At 35.4% G+C, this 21,558-nt stretch overlaps 1 protein-coding gene across 24 annotated transcripts in view, besides 1 other annotated feature; it reads right to left on the reverse strand.

Annotated features, from left to right (window-relative positions):
• The window catches only part of BAZ2B (bromodomain adjacent to zinc finger domain 2B), a 397,131-nt gene that overhangs the window by 180,475 nt on the left and 195,098 nt on the right, over window positions 1-21,558 (reverse strand). For 2 of the 24 annotated variants that reach the window (XM_005246492.5, XM_047444059.1), the window contains exon 1: window positions 20,493-20,772. The exons of 21 other annotated variants lie outside the window; for them this stretch is intronic. The gene's annotated coding sequence lies outside the window, so the exon portion shown is untranslated. Of the gene's footprint in view, window positions 1-20,492; window positions 20,773-21,558 lie in introns of those variants that run through there. One more of the 24 variants, XM_005246489.5, reaches the window with a different exon arrangement.
• Window positions 1,492-1,786: an enhancer, noted in NCBI's record as "tiled region #4770; K562 Activating DNase matched - State 5:Enh". NCBI's record gives its function as "activates a minimal TATA promoter and a strong SV40 promoter by Sharpr-MPRA in K562 cells {active_cell/tissue: K562}" and the evidence as "EXISTENCE:reporter gene assay evidence [ECO:0000049][PMID:27701403]".

Consider the following 21,558-nt stretch of genomic DNA (forward strand, 5'->3'; position numbering starts at 1 on the left):
TGAGACAGAGTCTCGCTCTGTTGCCCAGGCTGCAGTGCAGTGGGTCATTCGGCTCACTGGAAGCTCTGCCTCCCGGGTTCTCACCATTCTCCTGCCTCAGCCTCCCAAGGACCTGGGACTACAGGCATGCATCATCCCGCCCAGCCAATTTTTTTTTTGTATTTTAGTAAAGATGGGGTTTCACGTGTTAGCCAGGATGGTCTCGATCTCCTGACCTCATGATCCGCCTGCCTCGGCCTCCCAAAGTGCTGGGATTACAGGCATGAGCCACCGCGCCCAGCCAGAAGAAATACTTTTTAAAAAATTAGGCTGAGCACGGTGGCTCACGCCTGTAATCCCAGCACTTTGGGAGGTCAAGGTGGGCAGATCACGAGGTCAGAAGATCGAGACCAGCCTGGCCAACATGGTGAAACCCCATCTCTACTAAAAAATACAAAAAACTAGCCAGGCGTGATGGCACATGCCTGTAGTCCCAGCTACTCAGGAGGCTGAGGCAGAGGAATCCCTTGAACCCAGGAGGCGGAGGTTGCAGTAAGCCAAGATTGCACCACTGCACTCTCCAGCCTGGTGATAGAGCAAGACTCCATCTAAAAAAAAAAAAAAAAAAAAAAAAAATTAATGCTACCAGAATGGCTTGAACGTGGGAGGGCCGATTGCACCACTGCACTCCAGCCTGAGCAACAGAGTGAGACTCTGCAGGAAAAAAAAAAAAAAAAAGCCAGCCACGGTGGCTCATGCCTTAATCCCAGCACTTTGGAGGCCAAGGTGGGCGGATCACCTGAGGTCGGGAGTTCGAGACCAGCCTGACCAACATGGAGAAACCCCATCTCTACTAAAAACACAAAATTAGCCGGGCATGGTGAGGCATGACTGTAATCCCAACTACTCAGGAAGGCTGAGGCAGGAGAATCGCTTGAACCTGGGAGGTGGATGTTGCGGTGAGCCAAGATCGCGCCATTGCACTCCAGCCTGGGCAACAAGAGGGAAACTCCGTCTCAAAAAAAAAAAAAAAAAAAAAAAAAAAAATTAATGCTACCATAGTTAAAGAAGAGAATTTTGAGAATTCTGATAAAAATTCAAGAAAAAATTGTTACACATTAAGGATTTATTCCTTTTTTGCCTCTTGTGTTGAAATAGGTGGTGTATTATTTATTTAACAACTATTTTTGAGCATTAACTACAAATCTCTATGCTGGTTTAGTCGTTAGAAAATAAAGATAAAATCATAGTCCTTACCTTATAAAAGTTCATCATTTAATAATTCTCACTACTCAATTTTCTCTAAATTTCTTTTCATTTAATACTGTTATCTCCATAATTCAACCTAAATCTCAATTACTATAATTTTTTTATTTTTCTGATAAACAGAAATGTATGTGCTCACTTCACTAAATTCGGAGTAGTGAGAGGGGTACAAAGGAGATGCAAACACAAAGATTTTGGAGACAGGCAGTTTCACTCATGAACTACCAGGAAGAAAAAAGATCTTTTGCCTTGATGTAATTTTTAAATGATGACAGTTTTCATAAAAGTTCCACCCTCCACCTCCATCCAGGAAGTAGGAAGGTCCATGACTCATTATGCTTTCCCTGTGCTTGACTCAGGCTTCCTCTTTACAGACTGCCTAATTCAGCAGATAGGACTTCCTGATGTTGAGGAAATCCTTGTCTCTTAACAGTGGGCCACATGGTCCCATTCCTGTGGTCAAAGCTGTCTGAAACAGATATAACCCAAGGAGACAAGAGTTGGCCAGAAATCTATGTGTCAGTGGTCTCTAAAAGATTCTATACTCTAATCAGATTCTTTCTGATATAAACATTTTCAATGATAGAAACAGGGAAAGTGGTTGCTGAGATTAAGAGATCCTTAAGGCTGGGGGCCTAAGTATACAAGTTTAAAAAAGTGGGTTGGAAAAAAATAATGGAAGAGTAAATGTACAGAGAAGTTGAGTGGCCTTGAGAGAGAGAGAAGATACTCTTCTGTTACTGTTCCCTGCCAACGAAAGAGCCTAGTAGAAAACTTCCTAACAAATATGATGCTTGTCTTTTCTCATGTTCACTCATGCTACTTACACCACTGAGACATATTCTGGTTTTCACTTCCAATAATCCAAACAATATACTCCTTTAAATATACGCCCTAGTGTTCCTTTATCCATAAAGCTGGATGTGACTAACCTTGGGTCCCAACTTCCCATCTTTGAATTATGGAGCACTTTAGCTTCTACCCAGGAAGCTGCTAATTGCATGACTTTTTTACAGCTCTGTATTTGTTTTATGAATACACTGTATTATTCAGCACACAACTAGTATGTCTGTTGAGCTTTGGTTGCTGAATCAGTACAATGAAACTAATTATGCTTACTTCAAAGAGTTATAAAGAGAGGGCCTAGTACACTTCCTGCCAGGTATTTTGTTCTTACGTGTTTGGCCAGGAGAATACAAAGAAGAAAATATTTTCTTTAAACTTATGATATAAGGGTAAAAAAAAGCTCAATAAAAGTCAACATTATTTATTTTATAAGTTAAATGTAAGCAAACATGTTGAAATGTCAAGATAATTTTCAATTCCAAGCCGATTTAGTTCACAGGTAAACCTAAAGAGGTGTTCAAGAGTATATTAGGCGATCCCCTGTCAATCTAGCTTTCAAAAATGCCATCTTTACCTTAGCTTTAGATAATAGTATAATTTGAAATTTTGTTTTAGATAATAGTGACATTTTTATTTTAGTTCTTAGATAACTAAAATAGTAAAACTGCTTTTCCCTGAGAAGTTAATATGTAATTTTATAACCTTCATTATACACAAAATTAATTTTGTTCAGACTATAACAGTGCATTTTTCAGTAATCTAGGGACCAAGTTTTCTCCTTTTGACATTAATAATCTCCAAATATACACAAAAAGTTATTATTATAATTCCCCCTACCATTCTCTTAAGTATACCATTTGGTCAAATTATGTATTAACTTATTGTTTCAATTATGCTTCATCCATTTCCCTCATAATTTTTATTATTTTCTGAATTGCATACACTTGTCCATGTCTTACTGTACTTACTGTATTGGCAATACCCAAATATTAACATAAATAACGTTGACTTTTATTAAGCTGTTTTTCTACCCATGTATCTTAAGTTGGAGAAAATATTTTCTTTCTGTATTCTCCTGGCCAAATACATAACAAAATACCTAACAGGAGGCATGCTACACCCTCTCTTTATTATTATTTTTTTCTTCTACTTTTAAGTTCAGGGGTACAGGTACAGGATGTGCAGGTTTGTTATACAGGTAAACACGTGCCATGGTGGTCTGCTGCACAGATCAACCCATCACCTAGGTATTAAGCCCAACATCCATTAGCTATTCTTCCTGATGCTCTCTCTCACCCCCGTCCCCGCCACTCCGACATGCACCAGTGTGTGTATATCTCCTCTTTGTGTTCACATGTTCTCATTATTCAGTTCCACTTACACGTGAAAACATGCCATGTTTGATTTTCTGTTCTTGTGTTAGAATGCTCGGGATAATGGCTTCGAACTCCATCCATGTCCCTGCAAAGGACATGATCTCATTCCTTTTATGGCTGCATAGTATTCCATGGTGTATGTACCACATTTTCTTTATCCAGTCTATCATTGATGGGCATTAAAGTTGAGTCCATATCTCTGCAATTCTGAATAGTGCTGCAATGAACATACACGTGTATGTATCTTTATACTAGAATGATTTATATTCCTATGGGTATACACCCAGTTATGGGATTGCTGGGTCAAATGGTATTTCAGCTTCTAGATCTTTGAGGAATCGCCATACTGTCTTCCACATGGCTGAACTAATTTACACTCCCATCAACAGTGTAAAAGCATTCCTTTTCCCCTGCAACCTCACCAGCATCTGTTGTTTTTGACTTTTTAATAATAGCCATTCTGATTGGTGTGAGATGGTATCTCGTTGTGGTTTTGATCAGCATTTCTCTAATGATCAGTGATGTTGAGCTTTTTTTCATATGTTTGTTGGCCACATGTATGTCTTCTTTTGAGAAGTGTCTGTTCATGTCCTTTGCCCACTTTTTAATGGGGTTGTTTGTTTCTTATAAATTTGTTTAAGTTCCTTGTAGACTCTGGATATTAGACCCTTGTCAGTTGGATAGATTACAAAGTTTTCTCCCATTTTGTAGGCTGTCTGTTCACTCTGATGATAGTTTCTTTTACTGTGCAGAAGCTCTTTGGTTTAATTAGGTCCCATTTATCAGTATTTGCTTTTGTTGCAACTGCTTTTGGCATTTTCATCATAAAATCTTTGCCCATGCCTATGTCCTGAATGGTACTACCTAGATTTTCTTCTAGGGTTTTTATAGTTTTGGGTTTTACATTTAAGTCTTTAATCCATCTTGAGTTAATTTTTGTATATGGTGTAAGAAGTGGATCCAGTTTCAGTTTTCTGCATATGGCTAGCCAGCTCTCCCAGCACCCTCTGTTAAATAGGGAGTCCTTTTCCCATTGCTTGTTTTTGTCAGGTTTCTTGAAGATCAGATGATTGTAGGTGTGTGATCTTATTTCTGAGTTCTCTATTCTGTTCTATTGATCTCTGTGTTTGTTCTTATACCTGCACCATGCTGTTTTGGTTACTGTAGCCTTGTAGTATAGTTTGAAGTTGGGGAGCCTCCCGTGATGTTCTCTTTGAAGTGATGCCTCCAGCTTTGTTCTTTTTGCTTATTGTATTGGCCTTCTCTTTATTATAATATTCCTAGTTTTTATATGGAAGAATGAAGACCCTCTGTGACAATGCTCAGAGAAAATAAATTCCTTCATAGTACAAGGCCCTAAGTATACATCCTAAACATGTCTTAATATCACCTGCATTAAAATATGAAAACAGCTGGGAGGCCAGGTGCGGTGGTTCATGCCTGTAATCCCAACACTTTGGGAGGACAAGGCATGCAGATCACCTGAAGTCAGGAATTCGAGACCAGCCTGGCAGACTGGGTTTCACCCAGTCTTTACTAAAAGTACAAAAATTAGCTGGATGTGGTGGTGCATGCCTGTAATCCCAGCTACTTGGGAGGCTGAGTCAGGAGAATTGCTTGAACCCAGGAGGCAGAGGTTGCAGTGAGCTGAGATTGCGCCACTGCACTCCAGCCTGGGTGACAGAGCAAGACTCTGTCTCAAAAAAAAAAAGAAAAAAGAAAAGGAAAGAAAACGGCTGGGCACGATAGCTAATGCCTATAATCCCAGAACTTTGGGAGGCTGAGGCAGGCGGACTGCTTGAGCCCAGGAGTTCAAGATCAGCCTGGGCAACATGGTGAAACCCCATCTCTGTTTAAAAATATATATATAATATATATATATATTTTATATATATAATATATATAAATATATAATATATATTATATATATTTATATATAATATATATATTTTTATATATATTATATATATATTTATATATATATATATAAAGTAGCTGAGCATGGTGGCTTGCACCTATAGTCCCAGCTACTCAGGAGGCTGATGGGGGATGATCACCTGAGCCCAGGGAGGTTGAGGCTGCAGTGGGCTGTGATCATGCCATGCACTCCAGCCTGGGTGACGGAGTGAGATACTGTGTCAAATTCATATGCTGTACACATACACACACACTGTGTGTGTGCGTTTGTGTGTGAAAACATTCAATGGTTAAACACAGTGATATCATGAATAAAACTATGAGCCAAAAATTTTTTAGTATTTCTACAAAGTAAAACAAAGTACAAACTCAGTAATAAAATTATTCTAAAAATGACCATTACCATGATTTTACACTTTTTAAAGTATCCTTTATAAACATAGTTTTCTGATTACTAAAATTAATGTAGTCTTATGATAAAACCATATATACCTAATTTAACCACAAAACTGTCTGTACTTTAAATGATCATCTAAATATTCTACTTCAAATGTTGAAAAGTTAAGAATATCTGAGTTCCTCAAAAGGCTAAACATTAAGAGTTACTGTATGACCCAGCAATTCAACTCTTAGGTAGAATTCTACTCCTATTCTTGGACATATAACCTAAAGAAATGAAAATATATGTCTATACAAAAACTGGTACCTGAATGTTCATAGCTATTGTTCATAATAGCCCCAAAGCAAATAACCCAAATGGCTATCAACTGATGAATGAATAAATGTGGTATATCCATACAATGAAATATTATTCAACAATAAAAAGGAATAAAGTGATACATGAAGCAACATGGAAGAACCTTGAAAACACCGAGCTAAGTAAAAGAAGCCAGTCACAAATGACCATGGGTTACATGATTCCATTTAAATGAAACATCCAGAAAAGGATACTCTGTAGAGACAGAAAATATAGAACTATGGGTAGGTTGGGGGAAAATGAAGAGTGACTGCTAATGGATATTGGGTCTGTTTGGGGGATTATGAAATGTTTTAACTGATTGTGGTGATGGTTGCACAACTCTGTGAATACACTAAAAACTGAATTGTATACTTTAAATGGACAAATTGTATGATATATGAATTATATCTCCATAAAGCTGTTAAAAAAAAAAAGGCTGGCAAGGTAATTTACACCTGCAGTCCCAGCACTTTAGGAGGCCTAGGTGAGAGGATCCCTTGAGCTCAGGAATTCAAGACCAGCCTGGGCAACATGGCAAGACTCCGTCTCTCAAAAAGGAAAAAAAAAAAAAAAAATTAGCCAAGCATGGTGGCACGTGCTTGTGGTCCCAGATTCTTGGGAGGCTGAGACAAGAGGACTGCCTGAGCCTGGGAGACTGAGGCTGCAGTTAGCTGTGATCGTGACACTGTACTCCAGCCTAGGCAATAGAGCAAGACCGTCTCCAAAATAAAAGAATATCTGCATCTCTCAATGGTACTCAATGACAGAATGCCATTTGACTTAATGAATTCTCTATGGGAATTTTAAATTCAATATTCTTGATTCTAGACTCTATATCCAAGACCAAATGTAGAATGTCTCTAATATGATTTTTCATGTGCTATAATGAATGATATGCTGAGACAGAAAATCAAGTCACATACTCTTACCAAACTCTCTCAGGTGCTCGTCCATTTAGTAATCTTGCACCTCCACATTACATATACTTTTTAAAAACTTGGTAAAGCTATATTAATTCAGTTTGGGGACTAACAAGTTTATCCAATATTAAAAGTATATATATCTTCTCTCTATTCCCACCATCATCTTAATACAATCCTGAATCAGTTCTTATTGGAAATAATGCAGTAGCCTTCCAAGAGGTCTCTGCTTCTCTTTCCTTCAATACTGTTTCTACCAAGAGTAATCCTGTTTTTTTTAAAGCAGTAATCTTTTTAATATAAAAATCTGATCCCACCACTCCCCTACTTAAAATCTTTCAGTGTTTCTATATCACCTGTATGATAAAATCCCAGGTCTTCTGCTAGGCATAACAAGGTCTACTTAATAAGCCTCTGGTTTCTTTGGTCTCCTTTTCCACTCTCTACTCATACATTAGGTGACTAAACAACTTCTTGCCATTCCCAAATACACCACTGTCTCCTCCTGCATCCATGCTATGTTTTTAGTGCATGATGTTTGTTCTCCCTCAAATGCCCTGCCCTTATTCTCTGCCTTACTCCTACATATACTCTAGGTCTCAGCTCATGTGTAACTTCTAAGGAACTGTTCCGACTCACAAGGAAGTCTTAGGTCCTTTCCTGTTAATCTTGTGTATTCCCTAATTAAGTCACTTATAACATTGTACTATATAACAATTTTTTATTTTTTATCTGCCTTCTTCTTTTTTATTTATTTATTTATTTTTGAGATGGAGTTTCACTCTTGTTGCCCTGGCTGGAGTGCAATGGTGTGATCTCAGCTCACTGCAACCTCCCCCTCCCGGGTTCAAGCAATTCTCCTGCCTCAGCCTCCCAAGTAGCTGGAATTACAGGTGCCTCCCACCACGCCCGGCTAATTTTTTGTATTTTTAGTAGAGACAGGGTTTCACCACTTTGGCCAGGCTGGTCTCAAACTCCTGACCTCAGGTAATCCACCTGCCTCGGCCTCCCAAAGTGCTGGGATTACAGGTGTGAGCCACCGCGCCTGGCCGATATCTGGCTTCTTCTGGCAAATCAGAAAATCTCTTCAAAAGTTCCCACAAAGTAGTGAATTGAATAAAATATGCCAAACATCTATATTTTGCTTTAATGTTTTCTGAATATACTGTAAACTTAGTAAGGCAAAAGCATAAATGTTGATTAGTATATTTATCCTAACATTAAATAAACATGACTTGCAAAGAATATTATACAAATTCTTCTGATAAGAGATGCATGTTGGCACTTAGGCCTCTTAATTTTTTTTTTGTAATACTTCTTTATTTTATTTTTTTAATTTATTATTATTATACTTTAAGTTTTAGGGTACATGTGCACAATGTGCAGGTTAGTTACATATGTATACATGTGCCATGCTGGTGTGCTGCACCCACTAACTCGTCATCTAGCATTAGGTATATCTCCCAATGGCCTCTTAATTTTAATAAAGTGTTGAAACCTTAAAAATTTTTTTTAAGAGATGAGGGTCTTACCATGTTGCCCAGGCCCAAGTGCAGTGGATATTCACAGGCAGACCCTAGTGCACTTTAGCCTCTAACTCCTGGCCTCAAGCAATCCTCCTGCCTCAGCTTCCTGCGTAGTTGAGACTACAGGCACATAGCACTCTGTCCAGATTGAACCTTAAAATTTAACTTGCCAACCAAGAAATCTATTTGTGCCAATAAACTCTGCTTTTCCATATTTATATCAAACTTCTCAAATTCACTAAAGGCAGGGAGTTAGGCACCACTAGTTTATTTGTGTAAGCTAATTTTATTTTACTAAAAACACATCAATACCTTGGGATTAATCCAGTCACATTTGGTTTATCAGTCCCATATTGAACATCCTTCTCTCTTAAGACATATATTGGAATCTCATAAAAGGCAAATAGGGTTCTACTCAGCTTAAACCGTAAGATAATTTTTATATAAATATGCAATACTATATACAAATACATAAAAACACAAGTCCAGAACATTCCTTTAGCTATCAAAGTTCTACATGAACTTATTTGGTTCTCTAGTTCAATCTGTATATATAAGCTATATTTTAAACAAAGGTGCAGAGAGCAATTATCTTTCACAATCTGCCTTAGATGATAGAACTTAATTTATAAAGCTACATATTTATTATATAATCATGCTCAACTGATTTTAATCTTGATGGACAAAGAATAATATTATGAAAATGACTTATGCAATATCTTCAAATAAAAGTAATAAGCTCATTGTAAATGGAGGTAGTCATATACTTAGAGAAAACTTGACCAATAAAAATCTTAATTTAGAAAACAGTGAAGCAAAGAAGTATATGTAATTTCATAGAAGAGAATTCCAGCAGAGTGTCATCTCGTAGTTTTTCAAGTATTTTCTGAGTGTAAAATGAATTTTTTACTTCATAAACAAGTTTACCATACAATTCCTTTAATGTAATGATTCACAAGCCTGGCTGCATATTAGAAACACATGGGGGATCTCAAATATATATAAATCTGTGACAAGGCCCATCTCCAGATCAATTATATCAGAATCTCTGGGGGTGGGGATGTAAGCATTAACAGGTTGGGAAGCCCTCCAGAAGATTCCAAGGTTAAGAATCACTGCCATAGAGCTTTTATAAGCTTCACTATTGCCAGATTATGTCAATTTTGAAGTTCAAATGAAAATAATAACTAACATTCACTGTCTTGTTGGCCCAGTACTTAATATTAAAGATGCTATAAGACTCACTAAAACAAACAAAAATTTAAAAAGAAAGAAAATATCTGCTAATATAAGGGAATGGGAAAATATCTGCTAATATAAAGAATGGGAAAAATATACAGATAGCTTGGATGAAAAGGTCCCATAAGAAGGCGGCAAGAATATAGAATTCATCATCATCTTAAGCCCCAAAAGCCAAGTAGGAAAATAAAAGGAGAACAATTCATACAAGTAACAGCAGGTATGTGTATAAGGCAGCTTCTAAAACCTGAAACTGACAATGAAAGACTTGAAAAATAATTGGCTTTACTGCTAACTGAGGCTCTGAATAGTTACACATTGGCAAGCTAAGCGTATAATACATTATAAACTATCTACCCGGTGTCCAGATGAGCACTCAGGATGAGAGGTAACAAGGACAGTTGTGAGAACTCCCAGCTATCCTCCTGTCAACAATGACAGAGAATCTGAAACGGATCTCTCCTTTCCAAGAGTCTTCTGCCCCTCCCAAAAATCTCTTACAAGGGCTGGCTGGCAAGTTTACTATAACTAGAGTAGGCATATGGAAAGGTGGTAGCAGGACCTCCACCCCTCCGAAAAAATTTCTACAAGGACATGTGACTACCTGGGTAAGGCTCTCTACCCATGAATCCCTTGCTAGGTAATCCTTACCATGGTCTATTGCTTCTTGAGGCTCTACCTCACCTATATCCAGAGCGAGCCAGGATGACAGGAGGGAAACTGGACCTAGCAATGGAACCTACTGACCCAGCTATCCAGGAGATCTGAGCTGTAATATGCTGTATTACACTAGGATAAATGAATATCCACAAAGTTCCATTTCAACATCATGTCTAAGGAATGATTAACAAGCAGATTTGAACATACAGATACTTATTAGGAAATAGAAAAGCTTCCAGAAAGGGTTGATGTAGACTTCTATTAGCTGCTTAGATGGAGGAATATCTCCTGGTACTTGGGCAGTAACTCCGCAAAGAACCAGATCGGCCCAGTCCAGAAAAACTCCAAACTTTCAGGAAGATTACTATGAATACTTCAGGCACAGCTTAGAAAAGCTTAAAAAAGAAAGCCTGCGTTTCAGAAACTGTGTTATCTATAAGAATACAGGACCAACAAGGGAAACACCATTACCACAATGTCTTTTCTCCTCTCAGTTTTTAACCCTGAAAACTTTCCTTTTGGGATCACAAACAAATAATAGAGAGTACTGAGTTCTTTTCCACCCTCAGTAATTTGTGTCCTAGAGTGAAAGGAGGATAAGAAAAAGGAAAAGAGAAAGAGTAATTCAAGCAAGAGAATCTAACAAGCAAGATAAACTATCCAAAGAGGTCAGAGTCTGAAAACTGGCACTACTGGTGGGACTGATGAATAATCCATTACTCACACACAAATCTCTTGTTCAGTGTCAGGTGCAATACTTTGTGGAGCAGGTCAACATAAAAGTAATGGTACTTCTACTAAGTTATCTAAACTATAATTATAAAAGTTTTAGATTCATGGGGCCCCAAAATAAAGTCTGGTATAATTACAAATCAAGGCCTTCTGAAAAATGCTTAGATGGTCGTCAAAGAGAGATTAGGTGGCTGCAAAGAAGAGCTAAATGGTTTTGAGAACAAAAAACTTGAGGTTTCCTGTGTAAAATATAGCCTGATACATTAAAGAGAAGTACAAAACTTGAAGAAATAGGCTCCAGAAAAAGTTTATTAGGCAACAGATCAACAGCTGATTTAGTAATGAAAGTTAGGCTTCAAACAACTACGACAGTGAGGAGGTTAAAAAAAAAATCTAAACAATTATATCTAGAAAGAATATTAATTCCAAGTTTTGGGTGAAAACTAAGAGTTGGAAAGGTGTTTCTTTGAAGAGAAAAGCAGTGGTCTCCCTAAAAAAATTTCATTTGAATTTCACATATACTAGAGGTCCAGAAAGTTCTAAGGTATTAAGGGTTTTTGAATGTGTGTCTGCTTGTGTATAAGGGATTAATATGACTTCGGAAAATTTGATGTATTTTTCAATCAATGCACTAAAACATTAGGAATCAAATTAGATCTAGGATTCATTATAATCTTCCTACCATGAGAAGTAATCTAAATTGAATAACCAAAAAACTTTAAAATAAGAAAATGAGAAGGGACAAAGTGGGTAAGAGTTATACTAAAGGTATGATTACTTTTAAAAAGAAGGAACTTAAACGTTTTAAAAACGGAGGTTCAAAAGAGATCATGTTGTTTCAAAATGGAGGTAGAGACGTTTTGAAATAAAAATAACAGCACTACGTAAGTTACTTATTTATTTATTTAGAGTCTCCCTCTGTCGCCCAGGCTGGAGTGCAAGTGGCATGATCTCAGCTTGCCACAACCTCCACCTCCCGGTTCAAGTGATTCTTGTGCCTCAGTTTCCCGATTAGCTGGGATTACAGTCATGCGCCACCATGCCCAGCTAATTTTTGTATTTTTAGCAGAGATGGGGTTTCGTCATGTTGGCCAGGCTGGTCTCGAACTCCTGGCCTCAAGCAATCTACCCGCCTTGGCCTCCCAAAGTGTTGTGATCACAGATGTGAGCCACAACGCCTGGCCTATCTATCTGATTTCAAATATGGGCTATTATACAGCCTCATAAATAGAACTTCCATCACAAGTTCAGCAGGTTCCTTGAAATGGAAGTTGGCTTTGACATTTTCTTATCCTCTTTAAATTTTCTATTTCACTTAATTTTTAGTCACAGTGACTTCTTACTTTCTTGCCAGATCAGCAAAGTCAAACTAACAACATTTAAACTACTTATCTAATTACTGAATTTGTATTCGGTAAGTTATTCAGAGTATTTAGTTTGTTACAATTATATGCTCTATAGATTATTGAAATTTTGCTTTTAACCAAGTGGAAACTTATTTCCCAAAAGATTTCTCCAAGTCTAACTTTTGTTAATGATTTAAACACCCTATAATCTCATTCCCAGTTCCTACTTAAGATTCAAATTCATATTAAGGCAAATTGCCTCAGAGGTTTGCCAAAAATAAAAAAAAAAATTCCATGAGCTATCCATGTCAGTTTCTTCAAAATTGCTGGCTATTTCAATCTCCCTATGCATTACATACTCTCATGTATACCCCCTGACCAGAAATTTAAAGAAAACTTCCAATTAGTTTTCCTTTTATTTCCAGAAATTACTCTCCGATGTCCTAAATAATATTGTCATCAGGATGACCCATTATATCTGTTATTACCATTTATTTCCTTATTGAATCCACAAGTGGTAATTCATTACTGTTTGTGGGTTTGTGATATTATATATCCCTCTTAGGGAAACTTGTAATTAGGTCAAAGTTTCCCTGTTTTAATATTGCTCCCCATTTCCTCACTCTTATAACCTTATCAAGCCAGTGAAATAATCCCTGCCTTTTGGCTTAGTGGTCCCTCACTGATCTATGAAAAGATAGGTAAACATTGTTCTCCTAATCCATATTGAATTCCAGAATTTATACTTGTAAGAGTGATCTCAAAAATGCTGAATGAAATCATTATAGTCCTCTCTCTCACTTATAAAATATAAAATATTAACATATATCAAAGAAAATAAATTGACTAAAAAGAATATATTGGAAACACTTTCCAGTCAGATATAATTCAGTGATTTTATATTATAATGCAAAAAAGGCAACTAATAGATATCTTAAAAATGGGCAGAAATACACTTTTAATTCTAATTACTTGTGGAAACATCCTTTTATAACATTGTTCCTAGGGACTAAGAAATTCAAACTCAACGACCACTTCTAGAAAATATTACAAAACTGGGGTTACATACAACCAGAAGGCTTAATTATTTTTTAAAAGTTCACTTTAAGAGGTGGCTATTTACACATACATATGTTTTCACACATAACACATATGGCTTTTTTCCTCTCTTTTAAGAAAAATACCCTGTATGTGCTGAAGCCAGTATTCATTCAGCCTAATCTTTTACATTCACTATACAGTGTAACAGAATAAAATCAATGCTTGATTCAGCTATCTGGAAACAGTTTTGTGGTTCCTCCAAAAAGTTAATGTAAAATTACTACATGAATTGAAAACAGGGACTTGAAAACATACTTGTACACCTATATCCCTCAAAAGATGAATGAATAAACAAATGTGATATACATATATACATATTTAATATGTATTTGCATATATGTACAAACATATGTATATATGTACATTTGTATATATGTACAAATATATGGATATGTATACACAAATATATGTATATATGTACATGTATATATGAGCAACTGTGTATATATGTACATTTATACATACTAGTGTGTATGTATAAATGTACATTTGTATGTATATATGTACACATATACATATATCTATAAAATGGAACTATAAAAGGAAATGAAGTTGTGCTACATGCTATAACATAGATGAACCCTGAAAACTCTAAAGTGAGATAAGCCCAACCCAAAAAAGGACAAATATTGTATGATTCCACTTATGAAAAATATGTAGAAGAGGAAAATTTGCAGAGATGGAAAGTAGATTAGAGGTTACTAGGAGATGGGGGATGGTGAGGGAAATGGGAAGTTACTGCTTTTTTTTATTTTTAAATTTTTTTTGAGACAGGGTCTCACTCTGTCACCCAGGCTGGAGTGCAGTGGTGCGATCACAGTTTACTGCAGCCTCAACCTCCTGTGTTCGAGGCCTGAGTAGCTGGGACCACAGGCGTGTGCCACCATGCCCAGCTATTTTATTTTATTTTTGTAGAGCAAAGGTCTCACTACATTGCCCAGGCTGGCCTTGAACTCCTGGTCTCAAGTGATCCTTGAGACCCCGTCTCAGCCTTCCAAAGTGCTGGGATTCAGGCATGAGCCACTGCATCTGACCAGGAGTTATTATTACTTAATGGTTACAGAGTTTCTGTTTGGGATGATGAAAAAATTTTGGAAATACACTAATGATGGTTGTACAGCGCTGTGAATGTAATTAAGACCACTGGATTGTGTAGATAAAAATGGTTAAAATGACAAATTTTATGTTATAGATATTTTACTGCAATGTAAAAAAAATGTAATATACCAAAATCCATTAAACTATATACTTTAAATGGGTGAACTGTATGGTATGTGAATTATATCTCAAAAAAGCTATTTGTAAAAATTAATGTTTGAAGTCCTTCTTCAGTGCTTGAAGATACTGTTCTAGTTCCTTTTCCTTAAAGGAGCTTTCCTGGTCATTCCAATGACCGCTCTCTTACTGTCAACTCATAATATTTTACTTACATATCACTCATTAAGCAATTAATCTTATGCTCCTTTTGACATCTCTGGTTTTTTTAATTACTGTAACACATTTAATATTTGATTACACTTTGCTTATAAAACTAGACTGGTTGCTCAAATTATCAAATCAAGACTCATTTAATATTTGTTTATACTTTATTTACCAAACTAGATTAGTAATAGCGCAGATTGTCAAATCAGGACCCAGTAGCCCTCTATGTCTTCAAATCATCAAAAAATATTCAATTTTATACTTGCACAAATACATCAAATTTTAATAATGTTAAGACAAACTATTCCAGAAAAAATTAATCAGAATACTCATTCTCTGGACATTTCTTTCTTTCTTTCTTTTTTGAGATGGAGTTTTGCTCTTGTCACCCAGGCTGGAGTGCAATGGCGTGATCTCAGCTCACTGCAACCTCTGCCTCCTGGGTTCAAGTGATTCTCCTGACTCAGCCTCCCAAGTAGCTGGGATTACAGGCACCCAACACCACACCCGGCTAATTTTTTTGTATTTTTAGTAGAGATGGGGTTTCATCATGTTGGCAAGGCTGGTCTCAAACTCCTGAACTTAGGTGATCCACCTGCCTTGGCCACCCAAAGTGCTGGCACTACAGGCGTGAGGTGTCGCGCCCAGCCTCTCTGGACATTGCAATTTATAAAGGATGTAACAGATTTAGTTCAGTATAATTATTTAAAAATAGGCAATAATAAAATACTTTGAACAGAAATTTTTTTCTGATCAACCAGTCATTTCTTTTTCCCCAACTGAATCAAAGACATTGTCCAAATAAAACAAATTTTAAAACTAAGTGATACACAAACATTTAACACATACACTACTATTTTTATGACTAAGTAGAAATGCTCAGGAAATATAATTTTAATCATAAGTGGAATTAATTAAAATATGAAATTACATAGATAACTTAGTTAAAATAAAGAATGTTGTAGGGGTCAAACAACATTTTTGTTTACTTAAATAATCTGTTTAATGATTACAGTGACCATAAAATAAGTTATACCTAAAGAAGTCTTTAAGTCATGATAATAAAATAAAAGGAAAACTTCAGAGAAAGGTATAGGAAGAATGAATACATCTTTTTTGTTCCTTTGAAAAAATAGCATAAAATTTTGAGAAATGTATCAAAACAGCAGACTTGGTGTAAAGTCATGTATTTATAGAACAGAAATATATAGACAATGTAAAGTTTCTACCTATTCCCTCAGTATATACTTAAAATGATCATTCAGACTCATATCCTATTTTAATCTACACCAGGTTTTTAAAAAAACTGGTATTTCTGTATGTTTGACATGGCTTTGTAAAAATATTTCTTTCTTGCAGTTTGTCTGAATGACTTGCTCTTAAGTATCTTTAAAAACATCATAAATGTAAACAGTATTAATTCACATGAAATAACTTCTATTTCGATCCAGAAGGCAAAAGGTTTAAGTTTTTAAAATATGGCATTGTCACCTCAAAAGTAAGTATGTTTCAAAGAAAAACCATATTTTTATTCCCTACTGAAGTTGAACCACTTACGTTCACTTTTACAATGAAAATACCCAGCGGCATCTTAGAGATTACTGGTTTTCCAGTAAGAAACATAGCTATTTAGCAAATTCACTTGCCTAAAAAACAGCCAAAAAAGGAAAAGAAATAAAGACGGTCTCTAAGCTGATAAAATGTGTGGATTAAAACTCATTCTTCATTATTTAGAATGTCTTTGTGCCCTTAATCTTTGAAGTTTTATAATTTACACATGATTCCAACAAGCTTGGGTTCATTCCCAAGGTCACAGTATAGTACAAACAAAAAGATGATGATAATAGCAGCTGTAATTTTCTAAGCACTTATTAAGCACTATACACAGGGATGGGAACCAGGAGTAGAGGGAGTGTCTCTAATAGGTAACTATACTGAAAGCTCTGTAGTTATTCAAAGAACAACAACAAATGGTTTGACTCCTTGATCAAGAATCTAAAAGCCTTATGTCCCAAGGGTATGACTGTGTTACACTACAGAATGATAACTAACATTTAAAAAAGACAACTCCTTGTGACCTCAAACAGAAGTCTAAAAAATTTTTAATTTTAACATCATACATTTTTAAAATAAGGAGCATGATCAATGGAATCTAAAGACCTGGATTTGAATCCAGGCCTATCACCTAATCTATCAATGACCTTAGGGAATATTAATCTCCCTCATACTCAGTTTCTCCAAATGTAAAGCAGAAATACTATTTACATGACAGTACTAAAGTGAGAATCAACATATGTAAAAGCAGATAGTACAATTCATGAAAACAGCAGTCAATGAAATACTCTTAAAACTTGACTACCCAGAATAATTTTGTTCTTTGAAATATTTTTGTTACTTTTTAAATGTTTTTACTTATTAGATGTTTAGCTGTTACTTTCATTAGTAAATATGTAAAGTAGATAATGCCAAGATTCATTCAAGTATGTAGCAAATGCTCTCAAATTTCACTATAAACTACCTGTTTGACTAAGTAAGTCCAATTCATTCTTCAGTCTCAATTTGGGTTGTACCCACTCTGTAAAGCCTTCTCACATCTCCACTTGCATATCTAATGAACATTTTGGTCTACCACATCCAAAGTCAAAGTCCTGATTCTTCATCCTCATCCCACACCTTCTCCACCTGAAATTCTTCCCTATGTCACAGGTGATGGCAACACCATCCTTCCAGCTGCCAAAACCCTTAAAATCATCTTTTCTCCTCTTTCCTTGTATCTCACATCCAGCCCATCCAGAAATCTTTTTGGTTGTACCTCAAAAACATCCAGAATTTAACTGCTACTAGGCCACTACCTTCTCTCATTTAGATTACTCTAAGAACCTTCTAACTGGTGGTCCATGACTCCTTACATATAGTCTATTCTAAACATAGCAGCTGGAGTGATCCTTTTTAAAAATACTGAAAGCCCTGGAGTGGCTCCTCAAAGTCCCCACTGAGGCCCTACATGAATAACCCACTCACTCATTTCCTTTGACAATACCTCCTCTTACTCTCTCTCTCCATACCCGTACTCACAATGACAACCATTCATTTCCCTGAGCAAACCAGTCATGCTCCTGCCTCATGCCCTCTGCCTGGAAGACTTTCCAAAGGTATCCACATAGCTAACTTCCTTAATCTTTCCTCAACATCATCTTTTTTGTGAATCCTTCCTCAGCCCCTGAATCCCATCATCACCTAACCTTCACATCCTGCTCCTTTTTCTTTACTTCATAACATTTGTCATCTTCTAAAATGCTATGCAGTTTATTTATTATTATTAATCTCCACTCCTACTACATGTGCCACAAAAGCAGAGACCTTTGAAAGTTTCATTTGCTGATATTTCCCATGTACCTAGAACACCACACAAATATGCAAATTAAATACGGAAATAAAACAATACATTGGATATCTCTCCTTTGCGTCACCTTTAGCATTCTGTACTGACCTATATTTTATCAGTTATCACATTGTACTGTTAACAGCCTATTAATTTTCTGCCTCTTCCACTAGACTGCAGGCTCCTTGAGACAAGGGATTTTGTACTGCTTTATAATGCTATTGCCTGTAATTCCTTAAAGTGCCTGATACTTAGGCATTCCATAATATTTGATAAATTAATGAAAAAAATAAAACCATCCAAATCAAGTGTGTAAGCACCTTTACTATCTCCAAAATATAAACACAATGGTTAAGGGTATGACACTGGAGACTGTTCTGGATTCTGAATTGTGTTAGTGTTTTCAGTCTGGCTCTGGTATTTACTGGCTAAGGACCTTAATCAAATTATTTAAATTCTCTACAATTACTTTCTCATTGATAAAAATGGAAGTAATAATGGTACCTCCACCTCATGTGATTATCATGAATAGTAAATGACAAAAGAATTAGCCCAGAGGTTTGCATATAGTAAGTATTCAATAAATGACATAAATTACTTATTATAAATTAAAATAGAGGCACTATTATAACTTTTACTTTGATAACTTGACTAAGCTAGAATACTCACAAACTTAACCTTTAGAATCTCCTCAGAATATGCCAGTAATTTATATCAAAAATTACTGAGTTACCTAAAATAACCCTGATAAGCATTATGTGAAAGAAACTACCTTAATTCTTTCAACAAAAGAAGGAGTCTATTTACATTATCCCATTTTTTAACATTCCTAGATGTTAGGTTCTATAACATTCTTCAGTAACTACTTTTGATTTTTCATAATCTTATGTTTTCTTTTTATATAATCAACATACCTAATACTACAGTTTAAAAATTAAACATCTTACTACATAGATCACCTGCACTTATATGTCCATAATACATATATACATACATTCTTCCCTCTACTCTGAACAATTTTACTTCCAGAAATAAGACTTTTGAGAAAAAGTTAAATAATTTTAAGTATATTTGTCACTCTTTACTAAATCACCTTTAAGCTTTCTACTTCCCATTTCAGTCGTGTATCCAACAACATGTATATTCCTATTTATATTCCTTTGGTAATATTATATTAAAGATTGAGCAAAACTAAGAGTTCTGTTCCAAATTAAAAAGCCAATGTAATGGTGTTTCTTTTAAAGCCATAAATTTTATTTATCTGTCTATTGTTACTGCAAATGTTTTCCTATGTGCAGAGTCAGTTCTCCATTTTATAAAATACTTGTGAAATTCATTTCCTTTGTAGTTTGTAACACTATACAGAAATAAACAAACATACACATTTTACTTAAGCACTCACACAGACAGTAGACAAGACAACTGAGGTAAGCAGTTTAAATGATTGTCCCAAGACCACAGATGGAGTGACGGCCAGATTTAGGATTAAAACTAAGAAGCTCATTATTCCCTTCTTATATTCTGAATACTTAACATTGTTTTTATATCATAAGGATCTCTTTGCTAATTTAAGAATAAGTTAATTTCATAATTAAAATTGAGATATTTTGAGAATATGTAAATAGAATTATGAAACTTACTAAATCAAGATAAAATTAGAGTTTATCCAAAGTCTCTGAAAAAAATAATCTTTTTACTACATAAGTTATTTTTAAAATTTTGTTTAGAGTGGCAAGAAAGTGGCAGCTTAATATCATTTATCATTTCAATGTCTTTATTTAATAAAGCTAATTTCTTTAACCAAAACCTACAGTATGTGTATGAGCTGGTTGGATTTAAGATACCAAACAGAAATACTTTTTCATTTTAAAAAATCCTCCAAACTTAAACAGTAGTTTCTACTCTAATTGTAAACTTTAACTTCAGGATATATTTATAAGAGATCTATCTATGAAAAAACAATGTTAAAAAGTAAAGAAAACACCAAATACCCTTGCATTTACAGGAGAAAAAGACATAGAGTATAACATTAACAGCTTACTGTGGAGAGTGGGTTTAATCAGGAAGTAGCCATTATCCTTTCGATTCAGAGCAGTGACAGCACTCCAAAACAACAAGCCGTGATATTTTTCAGTTAAAAGGCATGAAAGAATACCTACTATTGTGTCCTAGCTTTGCTGACCCCAAGGGTCAGCATATGTCTTTTATCAAAAGCTATCATGAAAACATAATCCAAGTAAGCATTTACAATGCTCTATTTGTTGAAACACCTAAAATCTACCTAACACAACCTCTCTCTCTCTCAGTTACTCACAAAACATGGCTGTCTTATTCAGAGATTAGCAATTATTGTAATGAGATACTGTCGGAGAGGGTCAAATAGTACTTCCTGCAGTTTACACATCTTGATTTCCTGGTAAACAAACTGAAAGGCAGGTGGAGCACTTAGATCACCAGCAAACGTGAATGCTCACGTGATAAAACTAAGCCAGGTAAGGTTGATGTCTCAAGTAATCGTTCTTTTCTTAATTTTATTAATGTCAAACAGACAATAAAGAGAAGAGGTCTTTCTTCCTTTTTAAAGAAGGGTTTACTCCTCACATAAACTCACATGATAGGAATGCTTGAAAACTGGCACTGTTTAAAAGCAGGTTTCAAAAATCACTTCTGGCAGATAAACTATAAAAACAAAGCAATGCTAACAAATAAGAATAACTGCTCAAAAACCTGCCAAAAATAAAGAAAAGTCTTTAAATTTCAGCTGCTACAACAAAGTACACAAAATAAATTTCTGAGTTATAATAAAAGACCAAAATTAATTGTTTTGTGGTCAAAGCATGTCTATTTTTTTATTTGGACAACTTCCTGCAAAATAAGACTGCTTTATAATTTATGTGGCAGTCTTTGAAAAAAAAATTCCTATGATCAGAAAGTTTACATAATTTGAAACTTTTCTCTACATCATTTTAAACTCATATATCAAAAAGAAAACAAAACAAAATATTTAACCTGTGAGCATTTTTTAAAAACATTGTTAGCTTGAAAACTAAGTTTCTTTGTCCATAGTTTTTTTTTTCCCCCCAAATTGCTGTTTTTTCACTCTCTGA

This window comes from Homo sapiens, chromosome 2, assembly GCF_000001405.40.
Source record: "Homo sapiens chromosome 2, GRCh38.p14 Primary Assembly".
In the NCBI taxonomy this organism is placed as follows: Eukaryota; Metazoa; Chordata; class Mammalia; order Primates; family Hominidae; genus Homo; species Homo sapiens.